The following is an 18,792-nucleotide window of genomic DNA, read 5'->3' as shown; positions in this document are numbered from 1 at the left end:
AACTTAATACGCTGGGGATTTAAAACAACAACAACAACAAAAAAAAAAACAACACAAAAAAACAGCCCAGGGGCTCCTTATCTGGGGAAAAAAATGTTACCTTTGCTTTGCAATTCAGAACATCCTAGTTCTAAGGTTCAACCAAATGAGGTTTGTCCAATTTTTTCTTTTTAATGATATAGTATTATCCTTCTAAGACATGTTCCCCCAAAGAGAAGCTGGAACATTCACACCCATAATGGGAACAGGCTGGCTCTACTACAGGACAGCCCAAATACTGCATCACACAAGGTAAAGGACAACAATTCCTCCAGAATACACCCTCCCTGTATCAGATACTGGTGATTATTCTATTCTATTCTATTCTATTCTATTCTATTCTATTCTATTCTATTCTATTCTATTCTATTCTATTCTATTCTATTCTATTCTATTCTATTCTATTCTATTCTATTCTATTCTATTCTATTCTATTCTATTCTATTCTATTCTATTCTATTCTATTCTATTCTATTCTATTCTATTCTATTCTATTCTCGAGATGGAGTTTTGCTCCTGTTGCCCAGGGCAATGGCACGATCTCCAGCTCACCACAACCTCTGCCTCCCGGGAGCCTCCCGAGTAGCTGGAATTACAGGCATGCACCACCACACCCGGCTAATTTTTTTGTATTTTTAGTAGAGACAGGGTTTCTCCATGTTGGTCAGGCTGGTCCTGAACTCCCGACCTCAGGTGATTCACTCGCCTCGGCCTCCCAAAGTGCTGGGATTACAGGCGTGAGCCACCGTGCCTGGCACTGGTGATATTTTTTTAAAGGCCTAAAAGAGCAACAGGCAACCCAGAACTCTTTCAAAATCCTTCATGTGGGTTAAAGTTTTCGGCTTGCATGTGTAGGAAGAGGGCTTGCAGAAACCTGCAGAATTTATCCTTCATGAATTGCCCCACTGCTGACTACAGTGCTTGAAAGTAAAAGAAGACCTGAATAAAAAGTCCATTCAGCTTTTACATTCTAACATTATCGTGTAGAATGTTTCCGCTGCACCCGGTGTGCAAGAAGAAAAGTTCCACAGAGCCCCAGCTTTTCTCCACTGCCCTTAAGAACTTGGCCACAAATCCAGGTTTATTTGCATGCTGATACAAAACAACTCTGGCAAGGGGACAAACAACTCCAAAATGCTTTCCAAAGAGAAAAACCAGCCCTTCCCAAGTGGCAAGCCAGTTTTTTTGACCATGAATTACAAAGGTAGATTAAGAAACCCCCAGCTCATTAGGACAAGGTGAAAACTGCTACTTGTTCTGAGCCTTTCATTATCATACTATTCTACCTTTAGCTCTTGGGCAAACTAGTTTTCTTTTCTTTTTTTTTTTCAAAAGATAAATGTTACGACATGTTAAGAAATACTCATAACTGAGCCATGAAGACCGAACGCATCCTGGTACAGAAGTGAGATGCATAGCTTATGTTTACAGCTTCTCATAATCGCAGAAGGCTCTGGATTCATAGGCGTGAGTCAAGCTGAGTTAATGTCTAAGAGAGGAAGAATCCTCCCAGAGCTGACCCTCAAAGCCTCCAGCTCCCAGACCCTGGAATAGGACTTGAGGCTCACTGCCTGACTCCACACTCTTGCCCAAAACATCGCCGGAGAACAAGGATGAGAATTCAGCAGGGTCACATTAATTCACAGGCTGGGAAAAGGTAATAAAGATAGACTTGAAAGCCAGTTGGCAAGGCGGGCCTACCAACTGAAAGGGTCTTTCAGCACAGGAAAGAAAGCTCACCTCTTGGTTTTTAACCTTACTATTAATTCTTAAATACAGATGGATCTTTATAATGACACTTATCCTAATAGCTGAAGAAAACATGGTAGCTGGCATCAAAAAGTGAGTAAAGCTTTACAACTCGGACATCACTTAGAGATGGCAGAGGCAAGGGAGATCCAAGCCCTCACCCACTGGTTCTCAGACACCTGGAGAAGCAGCAGCACTCCCTCGTGCAGATGTTGACCGCACACTGCATCTGGGCACAAAAATCCACCAGCAGCCACAAAGTTGAGAGTCACCCGCTCCTGACCCACTGCTGAATTCATCAGGTCCCTCTTTTTCAAAACCTTTACTGATATTTCACAAAGAGCTTGGTTGGCTCTTGGGAGCCAATATAATGGCATATGAGACAAGAACTGATCCCGACCAGGGTGGTCACTCTGATCTCCCCGGTCCTCGGGTCACGAGGTGACTTGGCATGGCCCATAATGCAGAGCCCCCTTTCCAAACCAATAAGTAAGGTACATCAGAGGCGCGGGGCCTCCACTCCTGCCCATCACCAACCACCAGTCTCAGCCCTGTGCCCTCTGCAATCAAGGACTCAGCTAACACTTTACATAAGACACTTGCCACCTGGCTGCACGCCCCCCAAAATATGCCCTGATTCCGTCTTTGGCATTCACACTGGAAAGGACATTTCAAAGCTCTGTCTCCAATCCAGAGAAATGTTCTCAGAGTCTGAAGCCCTGGGGTGGGTGAGTCAGGTGGGGGGGACCTCCAAGCGTCCCAGACCACAGCAGTCTTGTCGCACACAACAGCTCTGGTGCCCAATGGCAACCCGAAAATCAATGGGTTCCCAAAGGAGCTGCCCTTGGGGCTAGGCCAGGCCCAAGTTACTGTCTTCTTTGGAGCTTCGGGCTAAGGCTTCTGGCATTCTTTTTGGGGGAGGGAGCGGACTCTAAGAAATAGTGAACAGGAGAGGCTGGGGCTTCATTCCTTCCCTCCCTTAACAAACATTCCTGAGGCCACAGGGGGCTGCTGACACCCAGCTGGTGTATTTAACGCTTCCTCATGAATCCCCCAAACAGCTTTGTGGAATTCAAGCCACTCTAGTGACATTTTAGAAATCAGTCCCCTCCCCTCCCCCCACTGAAGACTTCCACTGGTTGAATGGATGGGAACAGAAACATGCAAAAAACCCACCAGGATCACATATATCCACCATCTCTACTTCCGTTACATAGATTCCTACAGCATGGATGTTATTCCTGCCCCCTCTCTAACAACAGCATGGAAATATGGGTTTGAGTGCATTTTTTCCACCAACTGTAGCAAAATTTCAAGGCAGAAATCAGCAGAAACGTACTGAGGAGTGATGAATCCTGTCGCCATCTGTCAGCGGAGGTTCTGCTGGGCTTCATGCATGCACCCCAAATTCCAAGAATGCTACTCCTCTGAAGTTGGTATCCCTTTAGCTTCAAACTAGACCCAGAGAGTAGTCAGTCCTGATTCTGAACAGCCACTGTGGATGCCCATAAAACACAGCACTTGGGAGTTCCTGCTTCAATTTCCTTTCTCCAGCTACAAAAAATGCAGATGAAGCAAGTATTTGTTTGAGTTTGACTATGTAAATAAAGCCTATTCTCAGGGCCAACGCGTGGGAGGAAAACAGCTCTCCATGCAAACACTGGCAATGCCAGAGGCCTCTAAACACACCACCCTAAAGGCCAGTCTATTCAAAAAGAAACAGAAGTTTTAAGAGCAAGAATCCTTTAAGAGCAAAGGTGATATATGGTTAATCTAACAAAAGAGATTCAAAACCAGGCTAATTTTGCCCCCAGAGGACATTTGGCAATGTCTGGAGACATTTTTGTCATCACACCTGGAGAGAGGTGACAGTAGCATCAAGCAGGTAGAGGCTGGGGAGGCTGCTGAGCATCCTCCAAAGCACAGGGCAGCCCCACAGCAAAGAGATTCAGCTCACAAAGTCCCCAATGCCAAGGCTGGCAAACCCTCACCTAACCGATGTGACGAAGGTATTCAATATGGCATTGCAGGAGATCCCAGACCCAAGCAGATGGCACTGACTGAAGGGGAGCAGCAGGCTTGAACACTGGGGCCAGAGTCTGATTCTTAGGGCCTTTCCCAGGACTCAACAGTTTGTGACCTCAGGATACACCATTTGCCCTGCCTGGGCCACAGCTGTTTCATCTATAAAATGGGCTGATAAAATTCCATCTGAAGACCAGGACCGAACCAGCCTTGTTCTTGACACCCCTCCCAGTTCTACTACACGCACTCCCATGAGGCTTTCAAATGATACCCTCATTATCATAAAGAGAAGGTGCGCTCTTACCTTAATGCAAGCTATCCCCAAATCAGAGTCTGCTAAATAGCAAGTGAGTTGTACAGTATTCCAGGGCTCTAATATGTAACTATTTAATTACAAGTGGAAAAAAAAAAACGATTAGAAGAGCTATTTTTTAATGAGCCCCAGTGACTTTTCAGTAGCTTTTGGGAGAGGAAGATTCAAAGCTTGGATTAATCCACATTCTGAGCCAAGCGCAGTGGCTCATGCCTGTAATGCCAGGACTTTGGGAGGCAGAGGAGTTCGAGACCAGCCTGGGCAAAATGGTGAAACTCCCCGTTTCTACAAAAAATTTTAAAAAATTAACCAGGCATGGTGGCGCACATCTGTGGTCCCAGCTACTCAGGAGGCTGACAGAACAAGACCCTGTCTCAAAAAAAAAAAAGAAGAAAGAAAGAAAGAAAAGAAAAGAAATAAAAGAAAAAAAAAAGAGGAGTGTTCTGGCTGGGCAGAGTATACACACTTTATGACTGTCCACCATGTTTCCAAAGAAGCCAGTGTGATAAAAGATTACACATTGGTCAAATTTATAACAATGGCAACCTCTTTCCTGAGTTCAACAAAAATTTAGTGCAAAGCTAAACAAGGCTTCTCCAAATCCCTCCACAAAGTTTTGTAATCATAAAAGCGACAGAAAATATAGAATGGAAGACGCTGGTGTCTCATTTGCTATTTGAACAACAAAGCCATCCCACTTCCCAAACTGATTACCAGTGCGGCGGGTTAGGAATCACTTAATTTCTTCCTGCTGTGGAGAGGCAGGAAAGCCGAGAAAACCAGTAAATTATCTTCAAACGCTTCTAGTCGCCAAGAATCTTTACATTTTAAAAGGAACTTCGTCCACACGAAAGGTCCGACTCAACCCTTCCCAGAGAAAATGACCACTACACACTTTTAACTAGAACACAGGGTGACTGGACTGTTGTTTATGTGTTTGCTTTTACAAGTTCATACAGGTTCAACTGGTAAGTTTCCAGATGGATTTTGTTTTGAGACAATAAAATTCAATGTTCTAAAGCAAACCACACACACACACACAACATTCCTGATGAGATACATCTGGAATTTCTTTATTATTATTAGAACTCGGGTCCTGCTCTTAGGAAGCAGGCTTTCAGGTTTCTCTAAGTTTGCGCAGGTATCCAGTGCGCAGTGGATCTGGGACTGGAAGCCGAAAGTCAGTAAACATTGATGGGCTGAAGGGAATCGAGAAGTTGCGCTGGCGACAGCTGCTACTCTGGATTTCGTAGTGATCACAGGCACGGGTCCAAGGGGTGCCGAACCAGGGACCCCAGAGAGGCAAACATAGGTGGGGACGGCTCGGGGACACGTTCCTTCGCTGGCCTCCAGGCAGCCCCGCAGGTGCAGGCCGCCACTGGCGGGCCCGGGAGCGCCAGAGGACCCGGCCAGGCCCCTGCCCGGAGGAGGGAGGGGGAGGGGAAAGGGACTCCGGGCAGGAGCCATTTAAACTCTGCGAGGCGCGGGGAACCGCCAGGATCACACGCCCACGCCGGTCCCGGCGCCCAGGCCCGGCAGGTGACCCCAGCAGACGCGCGCGCCAGACCCGGGGGCGCGAGCCTACCGCCCCTCCCGCGCCCCTACCTCGACGCGCCCCGCAGGGCGGCCAGCTCCCGGCTGTCAGCGCCCGCGCCCCGCGGCCGCCTTACCTTGGTGATGACCAGCGGCTCGCCGTGCTCGCGGCCGCCCTTCAGGGTGAAGCCCCACGGGGCGCCGCCGCTCAGCTGCACCTCCACCAGGCGCCCGCCGTCCGCCGCCCGCGTCTCGGCCTCGGCCAGGCGCTCGGGCCGCGCGCGGGGCTCGGCGCCCTCCATGGCGCGACCGCTCAGCGTCCCTGGCCCGCGCCCATGCACTCCGGGCAGTCCCGGCCGTGGGATCGCAAGGGAGGCTCCGAGCGCCGCAGAACTTGCGCCGTAACTTGGAAAGAAAGTGCCGGCCCGGCGGCGGAGGGAGCCCGGAGGGCTGGCGGGGAGGGGGCGGGGCCGGGGCCGGGGCCGGGGCCGGGGCTGGCGGGGAGGGGGCGGGGCCGACGGGGGGCGGGGCGGGCGCGTTCGGGAGCTCGTACCGCGGGGCCGGTCACGGGGAGCGCGTCCAGAGGTCCAGCCCGCGGCCCGAAGGGTGAGGGACGGGGTCAGGTGCGCGCTCAGGGGCCCACGCGGCCGCTCGTACCGGGGAGAGCTGGAGAGGGGCGCGCCCCGGTTCTCTCGCCCGGTGGAGGGGAGCGGGCCGGGAGGGGCGCTCAGGCGCGCGCGCCGTTCAGCGGGTTCGGGGTCGGGGTCGAGGAGCGCGCGCCCCGGGGCTGGCGGAGCCAGCGCGGGCGAGGACGGGGGCGGAGGCCCCGGCGCCAGGTCGGGCCTTTCCTCCCGCGCCAGAGCTCTGCAGTGCTTCGAAGCTCTGGGCGCCCCCGCCCGCCGGTTGGAGGCCAGGACCGGGCAGGTGAGGCGGCAGGTGAGATGGGCGCGGGGTGGCGTGGCGGGAGTCTCCGGCCTCCTCCGTCTCGGGGCGCGCGGCCCGCCGGCGCCCACACTTTGTTCTCGCGCACCGCGGGCTGCCGCGCAGGTGAGAGCGGAAGCGCCGCGGGAGGCCCTGGTGCCCGCGCTGTGGCCGCTGCCCCGGGGCAGAGGGACCGCCCGTCCCGCGCGGCCCTGCGCGCACTCACACTCTGGACTTAGAGAGCCGGGAAGGGCGCCCCCCAGCAGCCTGAGCCGGGCGCGGGTCCGGCCTCTGGAGGGGCTTGGAAGGCGGGCGCAGAAGGACCGTGCCCCGTTTCCACGAGGGCCTTCCCACCTTCCCGCAGAGGCCTCCCACAGCCACCGCGCAGAAAGCCGTTGCGTCTAGATGCTGTCCCCACTCGCCTAGGATTGGACCACAAGGTCTTCAAGTTTCCCAGGTTTACATCCCCGAAAAGGGGAGGTGGAGGTCTGGGATTGGTGAAAGTTTGCGGACAACATGTGTGCCACCTCTTCCTGCTCGGTTTCAGTTTCCATGAAACTCTGGTCTAAAGTACCTGCATGGATAGGTATTTACATGCTTTGCAAAAAAGCTGTTTTCGTTGCTGTTTCTATACGTAGCTGAAGGCTGGTGAACACCTCTTTTCTCTAAGCAGCTCCATCCAGGCCCTTTTCAGAGGTGACGATGCTGGAGTACGCATCCAGGACAGGCCGGGAGAGCACTGGACAGAGAGTCAAGGGTCCCCGGGTCTGGGTTCTGCCACTGTCAAGCTGGGACAAGAAATCTCAGCTCTGGTCTGTTTCTTCAGAGGTCAAGTGAGAGGGGTGCATTCTGTGGAGGTGTCTCATGCAGCCGATTAAATTCAGAGTCGCAGCTCCACTGGGCACCTGTCATGGCGCTGGGCACGTGGTGACTGCCCCATAATTAACTTCTAACTACAGTCTCTGAATGCCTTTAGTTAGAAGAATGAGGCGATTTTTTCTTTTTCAAAGATTAAACGAAGGCTTAAGGAATGTGCCTCTCAGAATCAAGTCGAGTGTATCTTCACTGTGGTGATGGTCACAGGAGCTGCCAAGTTGATTAAGCTAAATTGCACAGAACTAAATGCACGTGAAACGGGAAATCTGAAAAGGCTTGGTGGATTGTATCAATGTCCATATTCCAGGTTGTGACATTGTGCTGTAGTTTTGTAACGTGTTGCCATTGGAACAGGCAGGTGAAGAGTGAAGGGTGCACAGGACTTCCCTGTATTATTCCTTACCAAGAGGCGAAGCCAGTTGGGTGGGGACTCCGAGAATTTTTCTGTCTTACAAGAGGATTGTAAAATGCACCAATCAGCGCTCTGTGGCTAGCTAGAGGTTTGTAAAATGGACCAATTAGCACTCTGTAAATGGACCAATCAGCGGGATGTGGGTGGGGTCAAATAAGGGAATAAAAGCTGGCCACTGCAGCTAGCAGTGGCAACCCGGTCCAGTCCCCTTCCATGCTGTGGAAGCTTTGTTCTTTCGCTCTTCACAGTAAATCTTGCTGCTGCGCACTCTTTGAGTCTGTGCCACCTTTAAGAGCTGTAACACTCACAGCAAAGGTCTGCAGCTTCATTCTTGAAGTCAGCAAGACCAAGAACCCACCGGAAGGAACCAACTCTGGACACATTACAACTACATGTAAATCCAGTTATCTCACAAAGTTTAAGAAATGGATGGATATGATAAACCAAAAGATAAAGAGCTGTATAAATATACCCAGTGTGCTTATTAGAGTTTGCAGACATGTCCGTCTCCCAAAACAGCCCACTCCCTACCTCCCCACCCCAAGCTGGTATAGACTTCAGTCTAAGCTCTTACCTGGGGCTAAAATTCAGACCACTAGACTCATTATAAAGCAGAGACAGTGATTTCATTGTCTCCATAAATCCAGCATTATTCTATATAGCCCCAAAGTCATCTTTAACATTTTATGTTCACCGTACGTAATCATTGTCAGATTACCCATCTGCCACTTGAAAGGTTTATACTTTTTAAAAGGACTCCCTTGTTCTTAAACTTAGCTAGAAATTTACATCCATCCTTACTAAACAGTGTTTAGCTGGGGTGTTTTGTTTTTTTAATCTTCACATTAAGCATCCATCTCAGGATGGTTGGAATATTTATAAGGCTGCTGTCTATAATGATGTTATGCTGTAAGGGACTGAACCAAGATTTGTGTGGCCTGCTATGAGACAGGTGCCTGCTCAGTCATAAATCCTTTTGTGATATTCTTGGGGTTACTATGGTCTAGGTGCGATGACAGCACTTCTATATTGTGTTTGTTTTGTCATCACAAGACACTGTCAATAATCTTGTGAAAATATATCTTGTGGCTGAAAGGCATCACCCCAGTTGATCAGTCTTGCACCCCCATTGGGAGAGTTTTAGTATGACGTTGAACCAGTGTATGGACTCCTAGTAGATGGCTTTCTTTTCTGAGAACTCACAACTCAGGTGGAATTTTCAGAAGCAGAATCCATTTGTCCATGTTAGTCTTTTGTCCTTTTGGAAAGCTGAGGGGCATGTTTGTTCTGTGTAATTTCTCACTGTGGTTGTTCATTGCTCAGAGAATAGGGTGAGCATATACTCTCTTCTGGACCTGCAAGGAGTGTGACCCTATGAGCGCCTGCCCCGGGGATTCAGTAGCCTTAGGTGTTTGTTTCACTTTTTCTTTTTCTTTTCTTTTCTTTTCTTTTTTTTTCTCTTTTTTTTTTGAGACAGAGTCTCACTGTGTCACCCAGGCTGGAGTGCAGTGGCACGATTATGGCTCACTGAAGCTTGACTGCCCCAGGCTTAGGTGATCCTCCCACCTCAGCCTCCTAAGTAGCTGGGACTATAGGCATATGCCACCATGCCTGCCTAATTTTTTATTTTTTGTAGAAACAGGATCTCACTAAGTTGTCCAGGCTGGTCTCAAACTCCTGGGCTCAAGTGATCCACCCACCTCAGCCTCCCAAAGTGCTGGGATTACAGGCATGAGCCATTGTACCTGGCCACTGTTTCTTTTTCTTTTTTTCTTTTTTTTTTTTGGAGACGGAGTTTTGCTCTTGTCGCCCAGGCTGAAGTGCAATGGTGAGATCTTGGCTCACTGCAATCTCTGCCTCCCAGGTTCAAGTGATTCTCCTGCCTCAGCCTCCCAAGTAGCTGGGATTACAGGCATGCGCCACCTTGTCCAGCTAATTTTTGTATTTTTAGTAGAGATGGGATTTCACCATGTTGGTCAGGCTGGTCTCAAACTCTTGACTTCAGGTGATCCACCCGCCTCGGCCTCCCAAAGTGCTGGGATCAGGCGTGAGCCACCGCACCCAGTCCCCGGCCACTTTTGCTAATCTGAGGTTTATTTCCTATGAGAGAAGAGATAGATGAAACTGAGGATGGTTCTGCTTTCACTTCGTCAACAGTGAATGAATTAATTAATGTAAGGCAAATTAACCAACGTTCAGAGACTTCATTAATAGCTAATCTTCTTTATGAAATACAGCTCAAATTATTTTAGCTTTTTGTTCTAAAAAGAAAAGAGATTTATACTCATTACAAAATGTGGTAGAAGATGGAGTTCCAAAATTTTACTTTCACATTTCAAATAGTGGCTCCGTAGGGTCAAGCCTTCCAGAAAACCTTTTAGTGTGGCATTTTAAAAATGGCAATATTAGCCACTTCCTACTAAACCCGCTGTGTTCCTATTAATTCAGACTGGCACAGGATCAGTCAAGATCAGAGAGCACGAGTGATGCAGTTGAAGGAAATCTGTGGGAAGGGCACACTGACTCATACTGCTAACCCCAGCACTTTGGGAGGCCCAGGTGGGAGGATCGCTTGAGCCCAGGAGCTCGACCAGCCTGGCCAACATAGCAGAGCCTTGTCTCCACTAAAATTCAAAAAAATTAGCTGGGCGTGGAAGCATGTACCTGTGATCCCAGCTACTTGGGGCGCTGAAGTGGAAGGATTGCTGCAGGGAATGAAGATCATGTCACTGCATTCCAGCCTGGGTGAGATATTATCTCCCCCACCCCCCAAAAAAAGGAAAACTATGACACGGAACGTTTACCCTTTGTCACCAAGGTTTGGCATCTTCTTGATTTCTATGAGCTATTATTATAAACATTGGGATGACCAGGTGCGGTGGCTTACCCCTGTAACCCCAGCACTTTGGGAGGCCCAGGTGGGAGGATTGCTTGAGCCCAGGAGTTCAGGACCAGCCTGGCAACATAAGGAGACCCCTTCTCTAAAGAAAAATTTTAAAATTAGTCCGACATGGTGGTGTATGCCTGTAGTACCAGCTACTCAGGAGGCTGAGGTGGGAGGATCGCTTGAGCCTGGGAGGCGGAGGCTGCAGTGAATCGGGATTATGCTGCTGTACTTCATCCTGGGCAACAGAGCAAGACCCATAAACAGAGCAAAGAAACATAAAAAAATTGCTTTAGAAAGCCATTGACTATGTTTTGCTTTGTTTTGTTTTGTTTTGTATTTTGGAGACAGGGTCTCACTTTGTTGCCCATGCTGGAGTGCAGTGGTGTAATCACAGCTCACTGCAGCCTCAACTGCCTGGACTCAAGCGATTCCCCCACTTCAGCCTCTTGAATAGCTGAGACCACTGACCTGTACCACCATGCCCAACTAATTTTTTTTTTTTTTTTTTTTTTGAGACAGAGTCTTGCTCTGTCGCCCAAGCTGGAGTGCAGTGGCGTGATCTGGGCTCACTGCAAGCTCCGCCTCCCAGGTTCACGCCATTCTCCTGCCTCAGCCTCCCAAGTAGCTGGGACTACAGGTGCCCACCACCACGCCCGGCTAATTTTTTGTATTTTTAGTAGAGACGGGGTTTCACCACGTTAGCCAGGATGGTCTCGATCACTTGACCTCGTGATCCGCCTGCCTCGGCCTCCCAAAGTGCTGGGATTACAGGCATGAGCCACTGCGCCCGGCCCAATTTTTTTATTATTTGTAGAGATGAGGTCTTGCTATGTTGCCCAGGCTGGTCTTGAACTCCTGGCCTCAAGTGATCCTCCTGCTTCAGCCTCCCCAAGTGCTGGGATTCCAGGCATGAGCCATTGCACCTAGCCTATTTTTTGTATTTTAATAAAATTGCCAGTAAGCATACATTTCTTGAGCACTTTTTACTTGCCCAATACTTGTTGGGTGGGGGGGGGGGGGAATGTAATGGTGCAGGAAATATGAAACATTATCTGTAGCAGTGAGGAAAAGGAAATCTCATGAAAAATCAGTACGATTAACTGCTAAACCACTTTTAACTACAAAAGTTTCAACAGGAGAGAAATTAGAATGTTAAAAACGATAATAAAGCCATAAGGGCCGGGTGTGGTGGCCTGCATCTGTAATCTCAGCACTTTGGGAGGCTAAAGTGGGAGGATCGCTGGAGCCCCAGAGGTCAAGGCTGCAGTGAGTCAAGATTGCACCACTGCACTCCAGCCTGGGCGACAGAGGGAGACCCTGTCTCCAAAGTAAATAAATAAATAAAGCCATAAGTAAAATATTTTAGTTTTCATCTGTCATTGTGGAAATTTCGAATGGACACAAAAGTAGAACTCTTGTTTCATCCTTCACCCACTTTTTATCCTGAAATATTTCAAAGCTCATCCAAGTCTTAAAGACAAAGCTGCATCCTGGTGGCTGAGAGGAAGTGGGGGTGAGGGTTCTTCTGGTGGCGCCCCCACCCCCCAACGCAGGCTGCAGGCTGATAGGAAGCTCCTTCATGGAAAGTTGATCTGCTTAAAGACAGGAAGGCAGAAATCTCTTAGTGAGTCCAGTTCTTACACAACTTCTCAGGAGAATAATGTCAAAATCAGTTTCAAAAAGGCTGTCTCCATGCACAAAGCGACCCTCCAATAGTGCCTTCTCTTGGTGACCACAGAGCTCATTCTTTCAACAAGTCTGCCGTCACCCAGCACGACCCATTCCCACATGGAGCTGAGTGTCCTGGAGAGGGCTTGGAGAGGGCTTGGAGAGGGTGGAGGGACTCAGCTACCACCGGTAGGTAACAAAGACCACGGTGTGACCTCAGCATGGTGGCTGAGTGCAAGGAGAACAAGATCTCCAGTGGAGGAACCAAGAAGCTGCAGAACTGTGAGGCTCATCGATAGGAACATTGGAACTGTCATGATTTATCACTGGAGAATGGTGGAAAAGGGTGACAGTAGGCCAGGCGCGGTGGTTCATGCCTGTAATCCCAGCACTTTGGGAGGCTGAGGCAGGCGGATCACCTGAGGTCAGGAGTTCGAGACTAGCCTGGCCAACATGGTGAAACCCCGTCTCTACTAAAAATACAAAAATTAGTTTGGTGTCGTGGTGGGCGCCTGTAATCCCAGCTACTCTGGAGGCTGAGGCAGGAGAATCGCTGGAACCCGGGAGGTGGAGGCTGCAGTGAGCCGAGATCGCACCACTGCACTCCAGCCTGGGCGACAGAGGGAGACTCCATCTCAAAAATAAAAATAAAAGCAAAGAAAAAGAAAAGGGTGATAGTGAGCCAGGGAATGAAAGGGAGTGACTCTGGAGTCAGCAAATGACTTCACCTGCACAGAGAACAGGGTGGTATGAGCCCAGGACACCAGCAGCCTCAAGGCAGGGGATTTAAGTGGGGAGAAAGCAGGTGGAAAAAGGTGAGTGGGGCCAGGAAGCCGCCTTCACCACCCCCTGCCTGAGCAGGGTAGTCAGGAGGGGTGTGGGGAGGAAAGCAGCCCATGCTCCATGGCTGGAGGAGGCACAGTGCCAGGGAGGGCCAGGTGTCCCTCCGTGCCTCCTTCAGAAGGGGCCACTGAGAGAGGAGGCTGAGGATGGGAATTCCTGGTGATTGCGGGTTTCCGGTGGAGGCGGGGCGCACCTGGAGGCTTGGCTAGCATGAGCAGAAAACAGTGGAGGCTGGGGGCGTGGGCTTCGAGGGCTCAAAGACCTCGAAATGAAGTGTGGGGTGGGGGGGTGATGTTGTGGGGGGTGTGTTAAAACTAACTCCTGGGTTTCTGGGCTAAGTAACTGAGTTGAGAGACAGATAAATGGAAGATTGGAAGTGGAAGAAGTGGAAGAGCCAAGGAGGGGAGGCAATGATTTGTGCTTCAGCAGGTGGAGTTTGACATGCCTTTGGGATACTGTATGAGTTTCCTAGGGCTGTGTGTACAAATTACCATTATGGCTTAGAACAAGAGAAATTTCTCTTTTTTCTTTTTCTTTTCTTTTCTTTTTTTTTTTTGTTGTTGTTGTTGAGACAGGTCTCACTCTGTTGCCCGGTCAGGAAAGTGGCACAATCACAGCTCACTGCAGTCTCAGTCTCCCAGGCTCAAGATGGATACATTTAAGGTCAGATATCAGCTGGGGAAAGGGCCACACTACCTTAATCTGGAGTTACTCAGTGCCAATGTACACCTATCTCTCTCTTTTTTCTCCTTCCTGCCACCTCATCCCACCCTTCTGGCCATGCAGTTAGGAGGACCCCAACTGAGCATGAGCGAGGGGATCAGCAAATGGAAGGTGCTTGGTGTCAGCACTGCAGCTCTGTCAGAAAGACGTGGGAGCGAGTGTTCTTGGCCATAGCTGTGGCTTGCCGTTAGCCTGCTGGGCAGCCATGGTGTGAGTTGGGTCTCTCAGGGAGAGGACACGAGTGGCCAGAATGGGCATCCCAGTGCTAACCAGTGTAAGACCTCAGGAATATTTGGGGCCTTGTTGGTTCTTCCATCCCTCCCTATCTATCTATGGCTCACATACTCTCTGCTTAATGTATGCATCCAACATTTCTTGTAAGCCGCTTGCTTCATTACATGCTGTCTCCTTTTTTCCTTTTTTTTTTGAGATGGAGTCTCACTCTGTCGCCCAGGCTGGAGTGCAGTGGCGCGATCTCAGCTCACTGTGAGCTCCGCCTCCCAGGTTCATGCCATTCTCCTGCCTCAGCCTCCCGAGTAGCTGGGACTACAGGTGCCCACCACCACACCCAGCTAATTTTTTTGTATTTTTAGTAGAGACGGGGTTTCACCATGTTAGCCAGGATGGTCTCGATCTCCTGACCTCATGATCCTCCCGCCTCGGCCTCCCAAAGTGCTGGGATTACAAGCGTGAGTCACCGCACCTGGCCCCCTTTTTTTTTTTTTTAAAGAGATGGAGTCTCACTATGTTACTCAGACTGGAATGGATTACAAAAAGGCCATGTACATAATTTTAGGTGGTACACATCCCAGATGCTTCAGGTACAATGATGAGGCAGAGATGATGATAATTAATTTGAAGTGACTTCTTTCTTTTTCTTTTTCTTTTTTTTGTTTTTTTGAGACAGGGTCTCTAAAAGGAATAGACATGGCATTGTGTCAATAAAACTTTATTTAGAGAAACAGATGGACATAATTTACCAATCCCTGCTCTGTTGTAGAAAACTAAGTAAAACAAAATAACAATAAAATACGATACGTACGGGATTTTGAAATGTGTCACATTCTCTCCCTGAGAGATTCAGTTCACACCATGGCTGCCCAGCAGGCTAACAGCAGGATCACACCATGTCACCCAGGCTGGAGTGCAGTGGTGCAATCATAGCTCACTGTAGGCTCAATCTCCCAGGCTGAAGCCATCCTACCACCTCACTCTCCTAAGTAGCTGGGACTACAGGTGTGTGCCACCACGCCTGGCTGAGTTTCTTTTATTTTGTAAAGCCGAATCAAATACTCTTAAAAATCCAACAAATACACATTTCAAAAGCCCATGCATATTTCTTATTTTATTGTTATGTTTTACTTAGTTTGCTACAATACAGTGGTGGTTGGTAAATTATGTCCATCTGTTCCTCCAAATAAAGTTTTATTGACACAACACCATGCCCATTCCTTTACCTCCTGTCTGTGGACACTTCATGGTTCTTATGGCAGAGTTGGGTAATTGCAACAAAGACCAGGTGGGCTGCAAAGTTTGAAGAATTTACCATCTGGCTCATTTTTTAAAGTTTTCTGACTCCTGTAATAAAGAAATGTCCAGTCTGGGCAACATGGTGAAACCCCATCTCTACAAAAAATAGAAAAAAATTAGCCAGGCATGGTGGTGTACCTGTAGTCCCAGCCACTGGGGAGGCTGAAGTGGGAGGATCGCTTGAGCCTGAGAGTTGGAGGCTGCAGTGAGCCATAACTACTCCACTGCACTCCAGCCTGGGTAATAGAGTGAGACCCTGTCTCAAAAATAAAATAAAATTAAGTAATGTCACAAGTTTGGGCCAGGCACAGTGACTCACACCTGTAATCCCAGCATTTTGGTAGGCCAAGGCAGGAGGATCACTCGAGGCCAGGAGTTCAAGACCAGCCTTGGCAACATGGCCAGTCCCCATCTCTACCAAAAAAAAAAAAAAAAAAAGCTAGGCATGGTTTCATGTGCCTGTAGTTGCAGCTACTGGGGAGGCTGGGGCAGGAGGATGCCTTGAACCCAGGAGCTGCAGTGAGCTGTGGTGGTGCCACTGCACTCCAGCCTGGGCAACAGAGCGAGACTCTGTCTTTGAAAAGAAGAAATGTCACAAATTTAAGAACCTCAGGTTATACACACGTTACGTTTACTCTAGGTCACTAGATGTTCAAACCAGGACAAAGCAATCACCCCGAGGACTTAGGGGTAAAGGGCCACTGCACTTAAACCATCAGGCTCTGCTCTGAGGAGTAACTGACCACACTGGGTATGTTAGTGCCTTTGCATGCTCCTGATCCTGACGTGCGTTCTAGTGAGCATCACAGACAATGTCTCCGCAGGGCGCAGTGCAGTGTTGAGGGAAGCCGTGCTGTCTGCCTGCAGGTCAGCTTTAACCGCAGCCATGCCCCTGAGGTTAATGTGGGTTTCCTATTCTCTACCCAAGGCTACTTGAGTGCCTGGGAAGCAGTCATTGCAAAATTAGCCAAAGTCTATGGTTAAGGAGGAATTGAGTCCTTTTTGTTAGATACATGAGATTTCACAGTCTTGTATGAAGGCGGACTCCAAGGCAGACAGTCATCCCAGAGTCATCTCATTTTAATGTGTTAGTATAATGTGCTAAATATGTAATATGTGTATAGGCATGTCTGTCCTCATCACCCCAGCCCACCCTGCCGCACACACACTTCCTTGAAACCACAGTTGCACTTAGCATCAAATTCGGCCACCTGCAACTGCCTCAGCCTTCTGAAAAGTGGACTTCAAGAAAAGTGCAGCTTCAAGAGGGTGGGGTGAGAAGATGCATTTTCTTGTCGGACTAGTTTGCAGACACTCTTGGTGACTGCAAGGGGCATCCCCAGTCCCCCTCTTGTGGCAGTACTCATGGCATCATCTGCCTGGGTTTGATTCTCAGCTCCACCAGATGTGTGATCTTAGACGAGTTCCTTCCCCTCTGCTGGTGCCTCATGCATTAAGAAGGGATAAAACAGAGGAGCCACAGGGGTGGAGGTGAGAGTTACGAAAGACGATGCATATCTGATGTTCCCAGCCCATGGAAGGCAATCATATAATATCACTGAACTTTCCTCTTCTCAGTACACAACCCACCTCTCTCCGTGGCTCCTGTTGTTCACCTCTCTTCCCATGCTGAGACCACCTGGCTCACAGAATCGTTATCTGCCTGTTGCACAGCTGAAGTTCTACCCTTAGGCACCATTTCTCCATTCATGAATTTCTCATGTTTTCCAGAGGATGGACACAGTCCAAGACTCTCATGTTTCATTCAGCCAGGTCAATACCGAACAACCACCACAGATCAGGCTGTCTGGGTTCTAAGTCTGTGTTCAAAACCCATTCCTTTCACACCTATAATCCCAGCACTTTGGGAGGCCAAAGTGGGAGGATTGCTTGAGGCCAGGAGTTCCAGACTAGCCTGTGCAACATAGTAAGACCCTGTCTTTACATTTTTTTAAAGTTAGCTGGGCATGGTGGCACATGCCTGTCGTCTCTGCTACTCAGGAGGCTAAGGTGGGAGTATCGCTTGAGCCCGGGAGGTCAAGGCTGCAGTGAGCCCTGATCACACCACTGCACTCCAGCTTGGGCAACAGAGCGAGACCTTGTCTCAAAAAAAACCAAACAAACAAAAAAACAATTAAAAAAAATCCTTATGTGGAATATTTGCAGAGCTGCCAAATTCCCCTGGGAGGAGAAGAAGGGGTTCAAGTCCAAACACTAAGCCACTGCAACAAGTTTTACTTTCTCAAAGTTTTGTAATCAACCCTAAGCATTTTTGGCCATTCCACAAGGTCAAACCAAGCACATTTAATTCTGGATGGAGAGGGCAGCAGATGCTACCTAGAGACCCCAGGATGGAGTCCTCCTTCCGTCCATTAAAGATTTCCTTCAGTCTCAGTTGCTGGTCCTTGCCCCTCTTTGTAGGAAGACGTGCTCAGGTGGCAGGAACTCACTCAGGGAGGCTGAAGGGCCAGCCAACCCTGGGTGTTGAAGTGCCCACCCCCAGGGGCAGGCTGGACTGGCTGACTGGCAGAAGTGGGACAGGAACACTGCAGCCCCCTCGCCCCACCAGGCGGCCCTGAGAGTGGCTGTGGTGGACTCTTTCTCGCTGACTGTGAGGAACCAACCGGCCTTGTTGTGAGCTGCCCTGTGGGGAGGCCCATGTGACAAGGAACTACACGGCCTTGGAGACAGCCCACAAGGGACTGAATCCTGCCAGGAAACACAGAAGCTGGCATCCTAATGGGATTTCTGTCTTTTGACTTTGGTAGGAGATAGGATATTCAAGAACATCTATACATTCGGGACATCATTTCAAATTGGAATGGTTTTACTGACTTTTTTTTCTTTAAGAGATGAGGATGGGAGGTGTGGGAAGGGGTCTCGCCATGTTGCCCAGGCTGGTCTTGAACTCCTGGCCTCAAGTGATCATCCCACCTCAGCCTCCCAAGTCACTGAGATTAGAGGTGTGAACCATTGCATCTGGCTGGGTTTGCTGACTTTTGATTGAACAAATCATTTTCATCATTCATGATCTTAAAAGCACAAATAAAACTTTTTTTCTAAGTTCAATTTGGCTGTCAATGAAGTGTATGTAATTTTTCTAAAATTCTTTATTATTATTATGAGACTGGGTCTCAGTCTGTCGCCCCAGGCTGGAGTGAAGTGGTGCGACCTCGGCTCACTGCAGCTTCAACTTCCCTGGCTACAGAGATCCTCCCACCTTAGCCTCCCAGGTAGTTGGGACCACAGGCGTGCACCACCATGCTTCTGTAT

The 18,792-nt window shown here is 49.2% G+C and overlaps 2 protein-coding genes across 3 annotated transcripts in view; one reads left to right on the top strand and one right to left on the bottom strand.

Moving 5' to 3' along the window:
• SHROOM2 (shroom family member 2) overlaps window positions 1-6,078 on the bottom strand; it is a 163,015-nt gene extending 156,937 nt beyond the window's left edge. For both annotated transcript variants that reach the window (NM_001649.4, XM_005274500.5), the window contains exon 1: window positions 5,797-6,078. In NM_001649.4, coding sequence (NP_001640.1) covers window positions 5,797-5,961 — 165 coding nt within the window. In that variant the 5' untranslated portion in view covers window positions 5,962-6,078. The remainder of the gene's footprint in view (window positions 1-5,796) is intronic.
• The window catches only part of GPR143 (G protein-coupled receptor 143), a 53,257-nt gene continuing 48,369 nt past the window's right edge, over window positions 13,905-18,792 (top strand). The window contains exon 1 of the mRNA XM_024452388.2: window positions 13,905-13,929. The gene's annotated coding sequence lies outside the window, so the exon portion shown is untranslated. The remainder of the gene's footprint in view (window positions 13,930-18,792) is intronic.

This window comes from Homo sapiens, chromosome X (genome assembly GCF_000001405.40).
Source record: "Homo sapiens chromosome X, GRCh38.p14 Primary Assembly".
Taxonomy (NCBI): Eukaryota; Metazoa; Chordata; class Mammalia; order Primates; family Hominidae; genus Homo; species Homo sapiens.
The sequence above is the reverse complement of the archived record's forward strand: the minus strand, read 5'-3'. Positions and strand labels throughout refer to the sequence as shown.